This window comes from Homo sapiens, chromosome 21 (genome assembly GCF_000001405.40).
Source record: "Homo sapiens chromosome 21, GRCh38.p14 Primary Assembly".
Classification (NCBI taxonomy): domain Eukaryota; kingdom Metazoa; phylum Chordata; class Mammalia; order Primates; family Hominidae; genus Homo; species Homo sapiens.
The window spans coordinates 36,073,269-36,086,747 of NC_000021.9; the positions used below are offsets into that span (position 1 = coordinate 36,073,269).

Here is a 13,479-nt window from a genome sequence, read left to right on the forward strand (position 1 = left end):
AGAAAGTAAAGAAAGAGCCAGTTAGTCAATATTTTCAATGTTGTAGGTCAAACAATGCATTGGAACTCCCCAAATCCACATTATGTAACAAAAGCTGACAGCATGTAAGCCTGTGAGCATAGCTGGCTCTGGCCCTTCCCAGCCTCTAGGAAAACAAATAGTACCACAACGGCAAAGGCAGCTGACCTGGTCTCTTTAAAAAAGCCAAAGTCATTGGGGAAAAACAACCAGTTGCTATGTGTGAAACGTGAGTGTGCACTTGTGTGAAACACCGAGCTGATGAGGGACCTATCAGATCTCCATAGGAATGTGTTATTTATGTAGGGATGAAGTGTCATGAGGTGTACAACATATGCCCCAGGTGTACAACATGTGTTTCAGCAAAGTATACAAAGACTGATGAACAGGTAAGGCAAAAAAAAAACAACTTTTCTGTTTGTTGAAAGCTTTCAAAACCTGGGGGTTGGCAGTGGAAACTTCTGGCTCTGCCCACTGAATTCCTGACCTCAGGCAGAATACTGTATCTGGCTTTGTCTCTGTTTCCTCAACTGTCAAATTGGGATGACAGTCATAGGATTATATGTATTGAGATAAAGTGTTGAGAACAAATTAGCTGGGTGTGATGGTGGGCGCCTGTAATCCCAGCTACTCAGGAGGCTGAGGCAGGAGAATCGCTTGAACCCAGGGGGTGGAGGTTGCAGTGAGCCAAGATTGCACTACTGCACTCCAGCCTGGGCGACAGAGTGAGACTTCATCTCAAAAAAAAAAAAAAAAATAGTGTTGAGAACAGCCCCTGCTGTCATTAGTTCCTGTAAATGGGCCTGACGCTGTCCCTGCTGGTAATGAGAAGTGTGTGTTTACTGTCTAACACCCAGTAAATGCCCAGGCCATTCTGTTTCTTCCACAGAATCACAGTGTTGTGATCTCTCACACTTCACCAGTGAGAATTAAGGCTTACAGAAACAAAAAGCGATCACCCGTGAAAAGAAGGAGAGGCCCCTTATTTTATTTTTATCTATTTATTTTTTAATTCTCCAAACTGCTTCGGAAGAGTCCCTTATTTTATTTATTTATTTATTTATTTGTTTGTTTGTTTGTTTGTTTATTGAGACAGAGTCTCAATCTTGGTTCAGTGCAACCTCTGCCTCCTGGGTTCAAGTGATTCTCCTGCCTCAGCCTCCTGAGTAGCTGGGATTACAGGCGCCCGCCACCATGCATGGCTAACTTTTGTATTTTTAGTAGAGACAGGGTTTCGCCATGTTGGCCAAGCTGATCTCGAACTTCTGGCCTCAAGTGATCCACCCGCCTCGGCCTCCCAAAGTACTGGGATTACAGACATGAGCCACTGCACCCAGCCTAGTCCCTTAGGTTAAAAGTGAGGTTTACTTTGACAAGTTTCACCTTTCAGTAGGGCTGTTCATTTCTTCCTAGTTTTTGTACACAGACACCAGAAAACAATCACGTCTGCAGCAAAACTGGTATTCTCAAGTGCTAGTTTAGAAATTTGTACCTGTATTGCAAAGATATTTTTCCCTTAATACCTTAAAAATAACACCTAACTTCTTTAAGAGATTTAGAGAAAGCATTGTTCCAAATTCAAGTACCTGCTTACCTCTGAGGGTGAGGGGAGGAGGACATACGTGGTTCCGTCTTTATTGCTAAGGATTTCTTTCTTATACCAGGTGATAGGTACATGGTGCTAAAATACAATTTTCAGAAAAAGGTAAAATCATGACTGTCATACAGATGTAAAAATAATAGTCAAAAAAATGTATTTTACTCATAAGGGAACCAGGGAAATGTTATAACTGGTTCAAAGGAAAAGCTAAAAGGAAAAGCTAACAGATTATATGGAATCAACAAATGTTGAGCTGAATTGCAAATGACGACAAAACTGGTGTTTTTACAGGGAGGAGGACGTCAATTCAGTCACCACTAGACAGGACAGCACTTGCACCTCTGTTACCTACAATTAAGAAAGAGATGCAAAATATCTCAAAGAATGAACAGGGCCATAGTTCAATGCTACGAGTCTTGCCTTGCAAGCACCCTTCACTCTGTTGTGTGAGTCTGGCAAAACACCCATCCCCATGCTTAATAACCATGCCAGCCTGCTCTAGCAGCTCTTAACAGATGATGTTGCTAGGGAGAAAGGAAACAAGAGGCTGACTGTACTCTTTTATGTTCCCACCCCAATCCCAAACAGACAAGCAATTCTCCTAGCCAGTGTTGTCTTTTCCCCTAGTAAATTCACTCTCCTACTCTGTAAGATGATTATTCTTTCCGCATATCTCCCAGACTGATCGTGCTGGAGGATGTCCTCAAATCTGTTCCCTAAAAAAGAAATAGATGCCCCTGAGGAGAGTCGTTCAACATACCTGCAACCAGACAGCACACCCTGCCCCCCTTTCCGTTACAAGAAGAGGCACACTGCTTCCCAGGCAGCACCCCCACCAGAGTCCTGGTTCGTCCATTATTGCCCTCCCAAACATTTTGTTCTTGTAATTATTCCCTTTCTTTCCTTCACCAAATTCACCTCTCAGATTACCATTGCATAAAAACATGCTTTAATATCTCTCCCAGCTTTTAAAACTAAGGAGTTGAGTCACACAAAGTATATTCTCCGACCACACTGGAATTAAGTTAGAAATCAATAGTAAGATGGCTAGAAAATCCCCAAATAGTTGGAAACCAACAAAATACACTTTCAAACACCCTTAGTCGAAAAGATATCAAAAGTTAAGAAAACAACAACAACAAAATTTTTTAAAGATATTGAAAGTTAAATTCAAAAGTATTTTGAACTGAATGAAACTGAAAACAACATATCAATGTTTGTGGGATGGCACTAAAGCGGTACTTCGAGGGAAATGTATACTACGTAATGCCTACACTAGAAAAGAACTGTCTCAAACAATGACCTCAGCTTCCATGGTAAGAAACTAGAATAAGAGCAAATGAAACCCCAAATGAGCAGATGAAAGGAAATAAAGATCAGAACAAAAATTAGTATAATCAGAAGAGAGCAATAAAGGTAAAAAAAAAAATCAATGAAGCCAAAAGCCGGTTCCTTGAGGAAAAACAAAAAGTGCTAAACCTCTAGCCAGAGAGATCAGAAAAAGAAAAAAAAAATGAAAGACACAGATTACCAATGTCAGGAATGAGAAGTAGCATCATTATGATTAATAAGAAGATAATAAGGGGTTGGGCACAGTGGCTCACACCTAAAATCCCAGCTCTTTGGGAAGCCGAGGCAGGTGGATCACCTGAGGTCAGGAGTTCAAGCCCAGCGGGCCAACAGGGTGAAACCCCATCTCTACTAGAAATACAAAAACTAGCCAGACATTGTGGCAGACACCTGTAATCCCAGCTACTCTGGAGGCTGAGGCAGGAGAATCGCTTGAACCCAGGTGGAGATTGCAGTGAACCGAGATCATGCCACTGCACTCCAGCCTGGGCAACAGAGTAAGACTGTCTAAAAAAAAAAAGAGCATTTTACTAACAACCTCAAATCATTGGAATTAACAACTTACATAAAATGTACACATTTATTAATATTTAGAAAAACACTAAGCTCACTGAAGAAGAAATGGAAAACCTGAATAGCTCTATGTCTGTAAAGTGAAGTTTCAAATACTCTTTGGAAAGAAAGAAAGATTGGTTGGGGCATAAAGGGAACCACACCCAGCAGGTGCCCAGCTATTAACTTGACTTTGATAGAGAAAGTGGACTCGGTGGCAGGGCACAGGCAGTTCAGCCAGATCTGCTTGAGTAAAGCAGAGTCATGATGAGATGGTGGCTCTCTGCTAATCTCAGAGTCGCTAATCAAACACACTCAGATCAAACACGTGGGTTACAGTGAAGAAGACGAATGAAGGAATCCAATTGCCCGTCTATACCTTGACACACCTTTGACAATTCCTTTGTTTTGTGGGTACACATTTCATGGGGAGATGCCATATATTTTACATATTAACTGTGACTTTGGATAAAACAAAAATGCAGACACTTTTAGCAAACGGGTTATGTAACAATTAGATAAAACATTCTAATAAATGGCTTACGGCATAGTAGGAGCTTCATAAACATTCTCTCTCATTTGAGGGCATACTAGGAACCACACAGAGATTGCCTGCCCATGCCTGGAAGTCTAATTACAGGACATCTTTTTTCTCTAATTCTTAAGTTTCAGTTTCTCTTAAGAAAGGGGATGTATGTCCTGAGAAGCACTTAGTGTGTAAATAATTTCATTGCATCTTAAGATAAAGCAAACATCTGCATTTTGCAGTGGGTGATGGGTGCACATCCAAGAAAATTACTTGGCACATGTTTTCCTCCCTTTGGGATTCTCCCAAAATAGTTTTAATTCAACTGTCACCTGTCTCAGGCCCCCTACTGACCCATCACCATCCAGTTTTGCTTTCAGAGAGCCCGACCTCTTAGCCCTGCAAACCATTGCTTGGCTCTGTTAGGATCAAAAGAGGGATGTGTCTTGGCATGACCCAATACACAGCTCATGGAAAGGGTAGACCCAGGAGTGGGGGCATTAGGAAACTTTCTGGAACATTCAGCCCCTCGAGTTGCAGCACTGGAATGCAGAACTTAGCTCTGCTGTACAGCCCAGAGCAACCATGCCGGCCTGCAGCCATAAGGCACCTTCAGGCTGCAACAATTCCGAGAATTGACGTCTCTGTACACGCAGGTCCCAATACCACTTATAATGTGTACGAGGTGTTAGTCTCAGATAAACAGGACTGGGCACTTTGGCTGCAAACAAAGCAGCATCTGGTGGGACACACGGAGGCACAAGGAGGTACAAGAGGAGTTGTTCATGACACGGGGTCAGAATCCATGCCTTCCATTAGCTGGGCTACTTACTCGGATCTCCATAATCCCAATATAGGTGAGAAGGTGTCTATACCCTGTGAAGTATAATTTTGGCAGAACAAGGTACATTTCTTAGGATATGGACTATCCCAGGAAGTCCATCCCTCACAAGGATTTACCATTCGGAACTGCCCAGTCCTGACACTAAAAGACAACACAGGAGATTTAGGGTCACACTAGCTATTGCAGAAAGTCAGTCCCTAACTTTTCTGTAATCACCACAATTCTATAACTTTCAGTCATCTATGCCAGAATTCCCATTTTTGGGAACAGTAATAGATTGAAGGCTGGCTGCCAAGAAGATATGTCCATGTGTCAGAATCTATGAATATTTTCTTTGGAAGAAAGATTTTTGCAAATGTAATTAAGGATTTCAAGCTGAGCTCATCCTGGATTATCTGGGTGGGCCCTAAATCAATGACAAGTGTCTTTTTACAAAACAGAGAGACAAGGCAGGCATATGAAGACAGGTTGATTAGAGGGATGTGGCCGTAGCCCCAAGCCAAGGAAAGCCTGCAGCCCACAAAAGCTGGAAGAGTCAAGGAAAGATTTCTCTCTAGAGACTTTGGAGGGAATGCAGCTATACTGACAGCTTGATTTCAGAATTCTGGCCTCCAGAACTATGAGAGTAAATCTCCGTTGTAAGTCACCAAGTTTGGGGTTATCTGTTTCATTTTGTTTTGTTTTTTGAGACGAAGTCTCGCTCTGTTGCCCAGGCTGGAGTGCAGTGATGCGATCTCGGCTCACTGAAACCTCTGCCTCCCGGGTTCAAGCTCAGGAGCAGCTGGGATTACGGACACATACCACCACACCCTGCTAAGTTTTGTATTTTTGTAAAGACGGGGTTTCACCATGTTGGCCAGGCTGGTCTCAAACTCCAGACCTCAAGTGATCCACCTGCCTTGGCCTCCCAGAGTGCTGGGATTACAGGCATGAGCCACCACGCCCGCCCGGATCATGTGTTATGGCAGCCCTAGGAAAGTGAAACAGAAACCCGAACATAAGCAGATATCCTGTGACTGAAATTAACCCTCCAACAACTTCCCACTCTGGCCTTAGCTAACTATGAACCTCTCTGCTCACTCATACAGAAGGGCTTCCAATTTTTACCCAGTTCTCTGGAGCCTAGAAGCAAAAAGCTATGACAACCTTTTTCTTGATCCGGCAGCAGACTCATCCACCTTGTCTCAGAGCAGCAGTGGCAGCAGCAGCCGCGTGCCTGAAGCCCTCTGTCGCCTTACCCCTGGAGCCTCCTTTAACATAGGGCCCTCCGGCTGCACAGTTTTTGCTGCTCACTGAAAATAGTCAACATTTCTGAGAAAACTGATTCACCTCCCGAGACATTAGAACGAGATCTCAAATGCCTAGAACAACTGACTGCTGTACGTGTCTTCACGTTTTTGTTCCTTACATACCTTTGTTTTTAGTTACTTTCGTTCCTTATTTACCTTTGTTTTTTTTTGTTTTTTTTTTTTCCCTTTCTCTGCTGGTTTAAGGTTCTGGATTGCAAATAGCTACTTGTTATCTCCTAACTATGTCACCCATGTGGGCCCCTGTTCCTAATACTGCCTTTGTACTACCCCTCGTGACTCCATGGCTTAAACATAATTTAACCAACCATTGGAATTATGTCCACATTTGATATGTTTTGGATCTATGTCCCCACCCAAATCTCATGTCAATAATCCTCCCAGTGCTGGAGGTGGGTCCTCGTGGGACTGATTGGATCATGGGGGCGGGTTCCCATGAATGGGTTAGCGCCATCCCCCCAGTGTTGTCTCGTGATAGAGTTCTCATGAGATCTGGCTGTTTAAAAGTGTGCGGCCTCTCCTCCCTTTCTTTCTTCCTTCTACTCTAGCCATGTAAGTTGTACCTGCTTCCCCTTTGCCTTCCGCCACGATTGTAAATTTCCTGAGGCCTCCCCAGCCATGCTTCCTGAACAGCCTGTGGAACTGTGAGCCAATTAAACCTCTTTTATTTGTAAGTTACCCAGTCTCAGAAATTGCTTTACAGCAGGGAGAGAATGGACTGATACAACATCCCTTTGAGCATTTCCCAGTTTCCATTAGTACTGATCCCTTGTAGTGAATCAGTTGGTTGTATAAACGGCAAATACTATAACAAGCCAGATGGCCAAAAACCAAGTACTCTTTATAACGTCATGCAAAAAAGTGGGAATTTTCTGTCTCCGTTAAAATGAAACTTGGGTATCCTTTCATAGAAATTAGCACTTCAACCAAACTTACTAATAGAGCTTGTAAGCAACCAACTGATATGGGACTAACTGTACAAGTAAAAGATTCTGCTTTTACACAGATGCTTTAAGGAAGGTTTCTACTTACGCTTAGTCTCCTTGACTATGGAACTATGTGCTGATGTCTGCATTTCACTGTCTGGTGCTGGAATAGACTTGTATTGACTTGTGTCAAAGCTGTAGGACAATTACACAACATCATGGGGTATTTTGGCAAACAATGGAACTTTGGGTGGCCTCCAGTGACTGATAGTGGATTTATGCTACAAAAGCTTATTGGCTACTGCCCACAAATCAGACAGAGATGTGCCAACCCAATAAGCTGATGCCAACTATCAGGAAAGTTCCTGATATTTCTCTGGGTCCCTTTGGCCCATTGATTTCCCCTCATTAAAAAAAAAAAAAAAAAAAAAGTCTTCAAATCTCTTAATTCAAGATAAAGAATCCAGGCATGGTGACTCGTGCCTATATTCCCTGCACTCTGGGAGGCCAAGACAGGAGGATTGCTTGAGGCCAGGAGTTCAAGACCAGCCTGGGCAATATAATGAGATCCCATCTCTACAAAAAATTTAAAAATTAGCTGGCCATAGTGGCACATACATGTAGTCCCAACTGCTGGGGAGACTGAGGCAGGAGGATCCCTTGAGCCTGGGAGTTTAAGGCTGCAGTGAGCTCTGATCATGTCCCTGCACTCCAGCCTAGGCAACAGAGCAAGACACTGTCTCAAAAAAAAAAAAAGAAAAAGAAAAGAAAAGAAAATGTGAGCTTCAATTTAAAACCCTAAATCTTAACCTTTGAGGAACAATTCCGTGCTGCTTTATTCTGTCTTCAGGCATACCTATTTCACACTTTACAGAAGGCCCAAAAAGTGGCTCAAAAAAACCCTACGTGTCTTGGTTCAGAGACTGACAGAGAACTAGGGAGTGTGATTAAAGCCAGAGGTCTCCTTGCCTAAGAAATTCACAGGACTGGATTGACAGTGGGTTAAAAAGAGTCATTCTAGACATACTACTGCCTTCTCAAGGCAGAACAGGCACCTTCTTAGAGAATGTTAAACTTCCATCCTACAGTCTTTTCTATGATCTTTAATATTATAGAGATCTGGGAAATAAAGGCATTAGAAAATTCAGCAATTTGGGCTGGGTGTGGTGGCTCATGCCTGTAATTCCAGCACTTTGGGAGGCCCTGGTGGGCAATCACCTGAGGTCAGGCGTTCAAGACCAGCCTGTCCAATATAGTGGAACCCCATCTCTACTAAAAAAATACAAAAGTTAGGAGATAACACCTGGCTAATTTTGTATTGTTTTTAAGTAGAGATGGTGTAGTGCACGACTGCAGCCCCAGCTCCTTGGGAGGCTGAGGCAGGAGAATCGCTTGAACCTGGGAGGTGAAGTTTGCAGTGAGCCTAGATCACACCATTGCACTCCAGCCTGGGCAACAGATTGAGACTCTGTCTCAAAAAAAAAACAGAAAAAAAAGAAAATTCAGTAATCTGGTCGATATTCCCACATCCAGTTCTTTGGGCTCTTCAAACAGAGCAGATAGTATCTGCTTTCTTGGCTTAAATTGTGCAAATTTGGTTCCTGGCTGAGAAGTAGACTCCAAACAGTTCTTCAGTGTTGCAGTGATCAAACATGTACTTCTACAGAATCATAAATGTTGCCACACAGCTGCTATTTTATCAATGATCTTATTGACAAAAACAAGAAGACCTAATATCTACTGAAACTGAAGTGACTTCCAACCATGAATATTCCATCCAGTGCTGTAAGTCAAAGTTGTTTTCTCTTCCATAGATGTGGTTGAAATATGATTCAAAAATTATGTCTCAGAAATAGAAAAGTGAAGAAATTATAACTTGTCAAGCAGATTAATTATATAGAGACCACAGACTTAAAATCCAGATAGATTGGTTCAAATTCAAACACCTTGAGTGTCAGTTTGTTCGGTGGAGTCATGTTTTAGAAAGATAAGCTCATAAACTGTTCAAATACAAACAACGTTAGCACCTCTCCTAGTTTACAAATTCTGACCAACCATAATGTAAACCTCAATTATAAACTTCTGCTCTAAGATCACCCTATGACTAACCATCCAAACATAAAACCTCGTAGCTCAAGACCCTGGGGGAGTCTATTGGGTGGAATTATTCAGCCAGTGGCTCCCTTGCTTAGTAAGTTTCTAATAAAGTTAGCTTCTTTTTTTTTTTTTTTTTTTTTTAATAATCAGGTTTTTCTGGTGGTCTTACATGAGTCTTTGAAAGCTCATTCTGTAATATTCAGGAAGCAGTAAAGAAGTCTTTTTATACCCTTGAACTTGCTTTCTTTCCTACTGTTTATAGCCAATGATTCTGGGATAGAGAATTTAAGAATAGCGATGTTGTTTGTTCAAATTACATATTCCCTTACTTTCCCCAATCTCCAACAAGATCCTGCCATGCAACCCAAAACTCAGAAGCACAACTGCAGTAAGCCAGTGCCAGTGAAGGAGGTAAGTTGCTTCTCCAAGTAGTGCTAGAGAAAGTGTTGAAAACATTGGCCATGTTGAAATTATCCATGCAAAACCATGTTAAGTTGGAGATATGACAATAAGTTAGTATAACATTTGCTGGGGCCAGGCACCGTGGTTCACGCCTGTAATCCCAGCACTTTGGGAGGCCGAGGCAGGTAGATCACCTGAGGTCAGGAGTTCAAGACCAGTCTGGCGAACATGGCAAAATCTTGTCTCTACTAAAAATACAAAAACTTAGCGGAGCCTGGTGGCACACCTGTAATCCCAGCTACTTGGGAGGCTGAGGCATGAGAATTGCTTGAACCTGGGAGGCGGAGATTGCAGTGAGCCGAGATCACACTGCTACACTCTAGCCTGGGCAACAGAGTGAAACTGTGTTGCAAAACACAAACAAACAAAAAAACAAAAACACACACACACGTTTGCAAAAAACATAACCTCAAAGAGTAGCTCTTCAAGTCACTACTCCCATCTCTCTATGCCATGTGATATCACCTGCTTTCTCACTAGGTGAGGGCTTGGTGGGGGTGGTCAAGGAAGAACACATCAGGGAGAAGCACCAGAGGTAGCAAGGTCACAGGTGTGGGGCCTGGAAGCGTCATCGCTGCTCACATCATTAGTGCTGCTGGTGCTGGTCCTCACCCCAACCCCATGTCTGAGCTCAGGAGAACTAGAGCCCCGCCGTCCCTCCTGTGCCTCCACTTCATGCTAGAGGCCTTAAAGGACTGCAACCACAAGAAACACAAACAGGCCCCTGGCAGGGCTGGTCTTTGGACAATTGTGAAAGACACAAAAGAAGACAGCTTCTAGAGGCGGGCATGGTGGCTCACGCCTGTAATCCCAGTACTTTGGGAGGCCGAGGCAGGTGAGTCACTTGAGATCAGGAGTTCGAGACCATCCTGACCAACATGGTGAAACCCTGTCTCTACTAAAAATACAAAAATTAGGCCGGGTGCAGTGGCTCACGCCTATAATTCCAGCTACTTGGGAGGCTGAGGTAGGAGAATCGCTTGAACCCGGGAGGTGGAAGTTGCAGTGAGCCAGGATGACACCACTGCGCTCTAGCCTGGGCGATAGAGTGAGACTGCGTCTCAAAAAATAAATAAATAAAATAAAATCAGCCAGGCACAGTGGTGCATGCCTGTAATCCCAGCTACTCAGGAGGCTGAGGCAGGAGAATCACTTGAACCCGGGAAGGGGAGGTTGCAGTGAGCTGAAATCATACCAATGCACTACCTGGGTGACAGAGTAAGACTCCGTCTCAAAAAAAAAAAAAAAAGAAAAGACAGCTTCTGGGACTCTCACAATGCAGTGAGAATTCTTGAGTTCTTGGAATGGATGCATTAACCTCTGTTTTCAAGATGGAGAAGGAAGCCAAGTATGGGGATGCTATTCTGTACAGGGGGAAGATCTGAAGATTCAAACAGAAGGCACAAATCCAGGAGGCAGTCCACAAGCCTACAAAAATGTATATCCTACAAGATTCAGGTTGCTAATTTTGGAGAACAACTTTCTGAACCCAGCTTATGAAGGCCACCTAATGGTGGGGACTCCCACTCATGACAAGGTGTGGAAAATCTGACAAAGAAAATTATAGAACTCCTAATCCTCTTTGGCCAATATGAACTGAAGCTTCAGAACAAAGTTCCAGGCCTCCCAAAAAGTCTTGATCCAGCCTGTTGCCATTTTAATCCAAAACGCACTATGGTTATAGCATTGCAGCTGGGATGGAGTAATTGTATCCTCAGAATCAGGAGCAGTTGTATGCAAGGGCTTCAAACTTACTCAATAGCAGAATTTGTGTAGGTGATTTGAATACTTAGGGTCACTTGAGATCAGTGCCATCAAGACCAGCTTTTGGGAGATCTCAGTCTCCCAAGCAGTTGTCCCTCACAAGAAACTCCATGCCAAGGGCAGATTGCTCCCTGTTCAGATGGAAAACATCAAGCACTCACACTCAGAGCTCATCAGCTGCTGGCTTCAGCTTGAGCAAGAAGTCTTCAGTGTCCCAGCAGGTGATATCTCACTACCAACTTGCTGTGCACAGATTTGCTGCTGCTCTATCAAGATGCACAGGCCAGGCTGGGTGTTGTGTGGCTCACACCTATAATCCTAGCCCTGTTGGGAGGCCAAAGCAGAAGGATTGTATGAACCCAGGAGTTCAAGACCAGCCTGGGCAACACAGCAAGACCTCGTCTCTAAAAACAAAGACAAAAACAAAAAAAAAACTAGCCAGACATGGTAGCATGTACCCATAGTCCCCACCCCCCCCGAAAAAAATGCACAGACCAACTAGAATCCAAGGATAACCATTCTGACATTCATGGGTCCCATCTCTAACAGCTACTTCACCACATACCAGAGACACCAAGGGTTCCCTCAGCCCAGGTCTCCATGCCAACCAGGCTCAAGTTTTAAACCCTAGAAATTAGGTTCTCTAGGGCCAACGAGAGACTAGGGATAAAACCTAGAGCTAAAATCCAGGTCCCAGCTGTGCTGGCCTCTGCCAAGGATTCTTCAGGCTTCCCTGCTTCTTCATCGTCAGGATCCCTAATCCTACAATCAGTAGCCAGTGCCTTTGTCCACTGCCACGCCCAGCTAATTTTTGTATTTTTAATAGATATGGGGTTTCACCATGTTGGCTAGGCTGGTCTCGAACTCCTGACTTCAGACAATCTGTCCCCCTCGGCCTCCCAAAGTGCTGGGATTACAGGCATGAGCTACCATGCCCAGCCTGTATTAATTTCCATGTGTTTGTGTAATTTCCAGAGTTCCTCTTGTTATTGATGTCTAGTTTTCTTCCATCTTGGTCAGAAAAGATACTTGATATGATTTCTGTTTTTTTGAATGTGTTCAGACTTGTTTTGTGGCCTAAGATATGGTCTATTCTGGAGAATGTTCTATGTACTGATGAAAATGTGTATTCTGCAACAGTTGGGTGAAATGTTCTCCTATTGTGAGTTAGGCCTATTAGATGTAGTGTGTAGTTTAACTCTGATGTTTCCTTTTTGATTTTCTATCTGAATAATCTGTACATTAAAAGTCTTCTACTATTATTGTATTTCAGTCTGTCTTTCCCTTTAAATCTATTCATGTTTGCTTTATATACTTGAGGGCTGCAGTGTTGGTTGCATATACGTTTATAATTGTTATTTCATATCTTCTCGCCAAATTGATCCTTTTATCATTACATAGGGACCTTCTTTGTTTCATTTTAGTCTTTGATTTGTAGTCTATTTTATCTGATATAAGTGGAGCTACTCCTGCTGTTTTTTGGTTTCCAATTGCATGGAATATCTTTTTCCATGCCTACACTTTCAGTCCATGTGTGTCTTTATAGGTAAAGTGGGTTTCTTGTTGGCAGCATATATGGGTCTTGTTTCTTTATCCATTCAGCCTCTCTATGCCTTTTAATTGGAGAACTGAGTCCATTTATGTTGTTTCATTACTGACAAGTAAGAACATACTACTGCCATTATGTTGGTTGTTTTCTGGTTGTTTTGTAACCCCTCTCTTCTTTTCTCACTGTCTTCCTTTGTGGTTAAGGTATTTCCTCTGGAAATATGTTTTAATTCATTGCTGTTTATTTCTGGTGAATTTATTATAGGTTTTTGTGTTGTGATTACCATGAAACTTACAAAAAACATCTTAGAGGCCAGGTGTGGTGGCTCTTGCCTGTAGTCCCAGCACTTTGGGAGGCTGAAGTGGGTGGATCACGGGGTCAAGAGTCGAAGACCAGCCTGGCCCACATGGTGAAACCTCATCGCTACTAAAAATATGAAAATTAGCCGGGCATGATGGCAGGTGCCTGTAATCCCAGCTGCTCG

At 43.0% G+C, this 13,479-nt stretch overlaps 1 long non-coding RNA gene across 1 annotated transcript in view, besides 1 other annotated feature; it reads right to left on the minus strand.

Moving 5' to 3' along the window:
• Window positions 1-13,479, minus strand: part of CBR1-AS1 (CBR1 antisense RNA 1) — a 56,999-nt gene that overhangs the window by 3,627 nt on the left and 39,893 nt on the right. The window contains exon 3 of the long non-coding RNA NR_040084.1: window positions 1,613-1,699. This is a non-coding gene — a long non-coding RNA (CBR1 antisense RNA 1). The remainder of the gene's footprint in view (window positions 1-1,612; window positions 1,700-13,479) is intronic.
• Window positions 5,852-6,001: an enhancer, noted in NCBI's record as "active region_18424". NCBI's record gives its function as "activates an Ori minimal core promoter by ATAC-STARR-seq in GM12878 lymphoblastoid cells {active_cell/tissue: GM12878}" and the evidence as "EXISTENCE:reporter gene assay evidence [ECO:0000049][PMID:35858748]".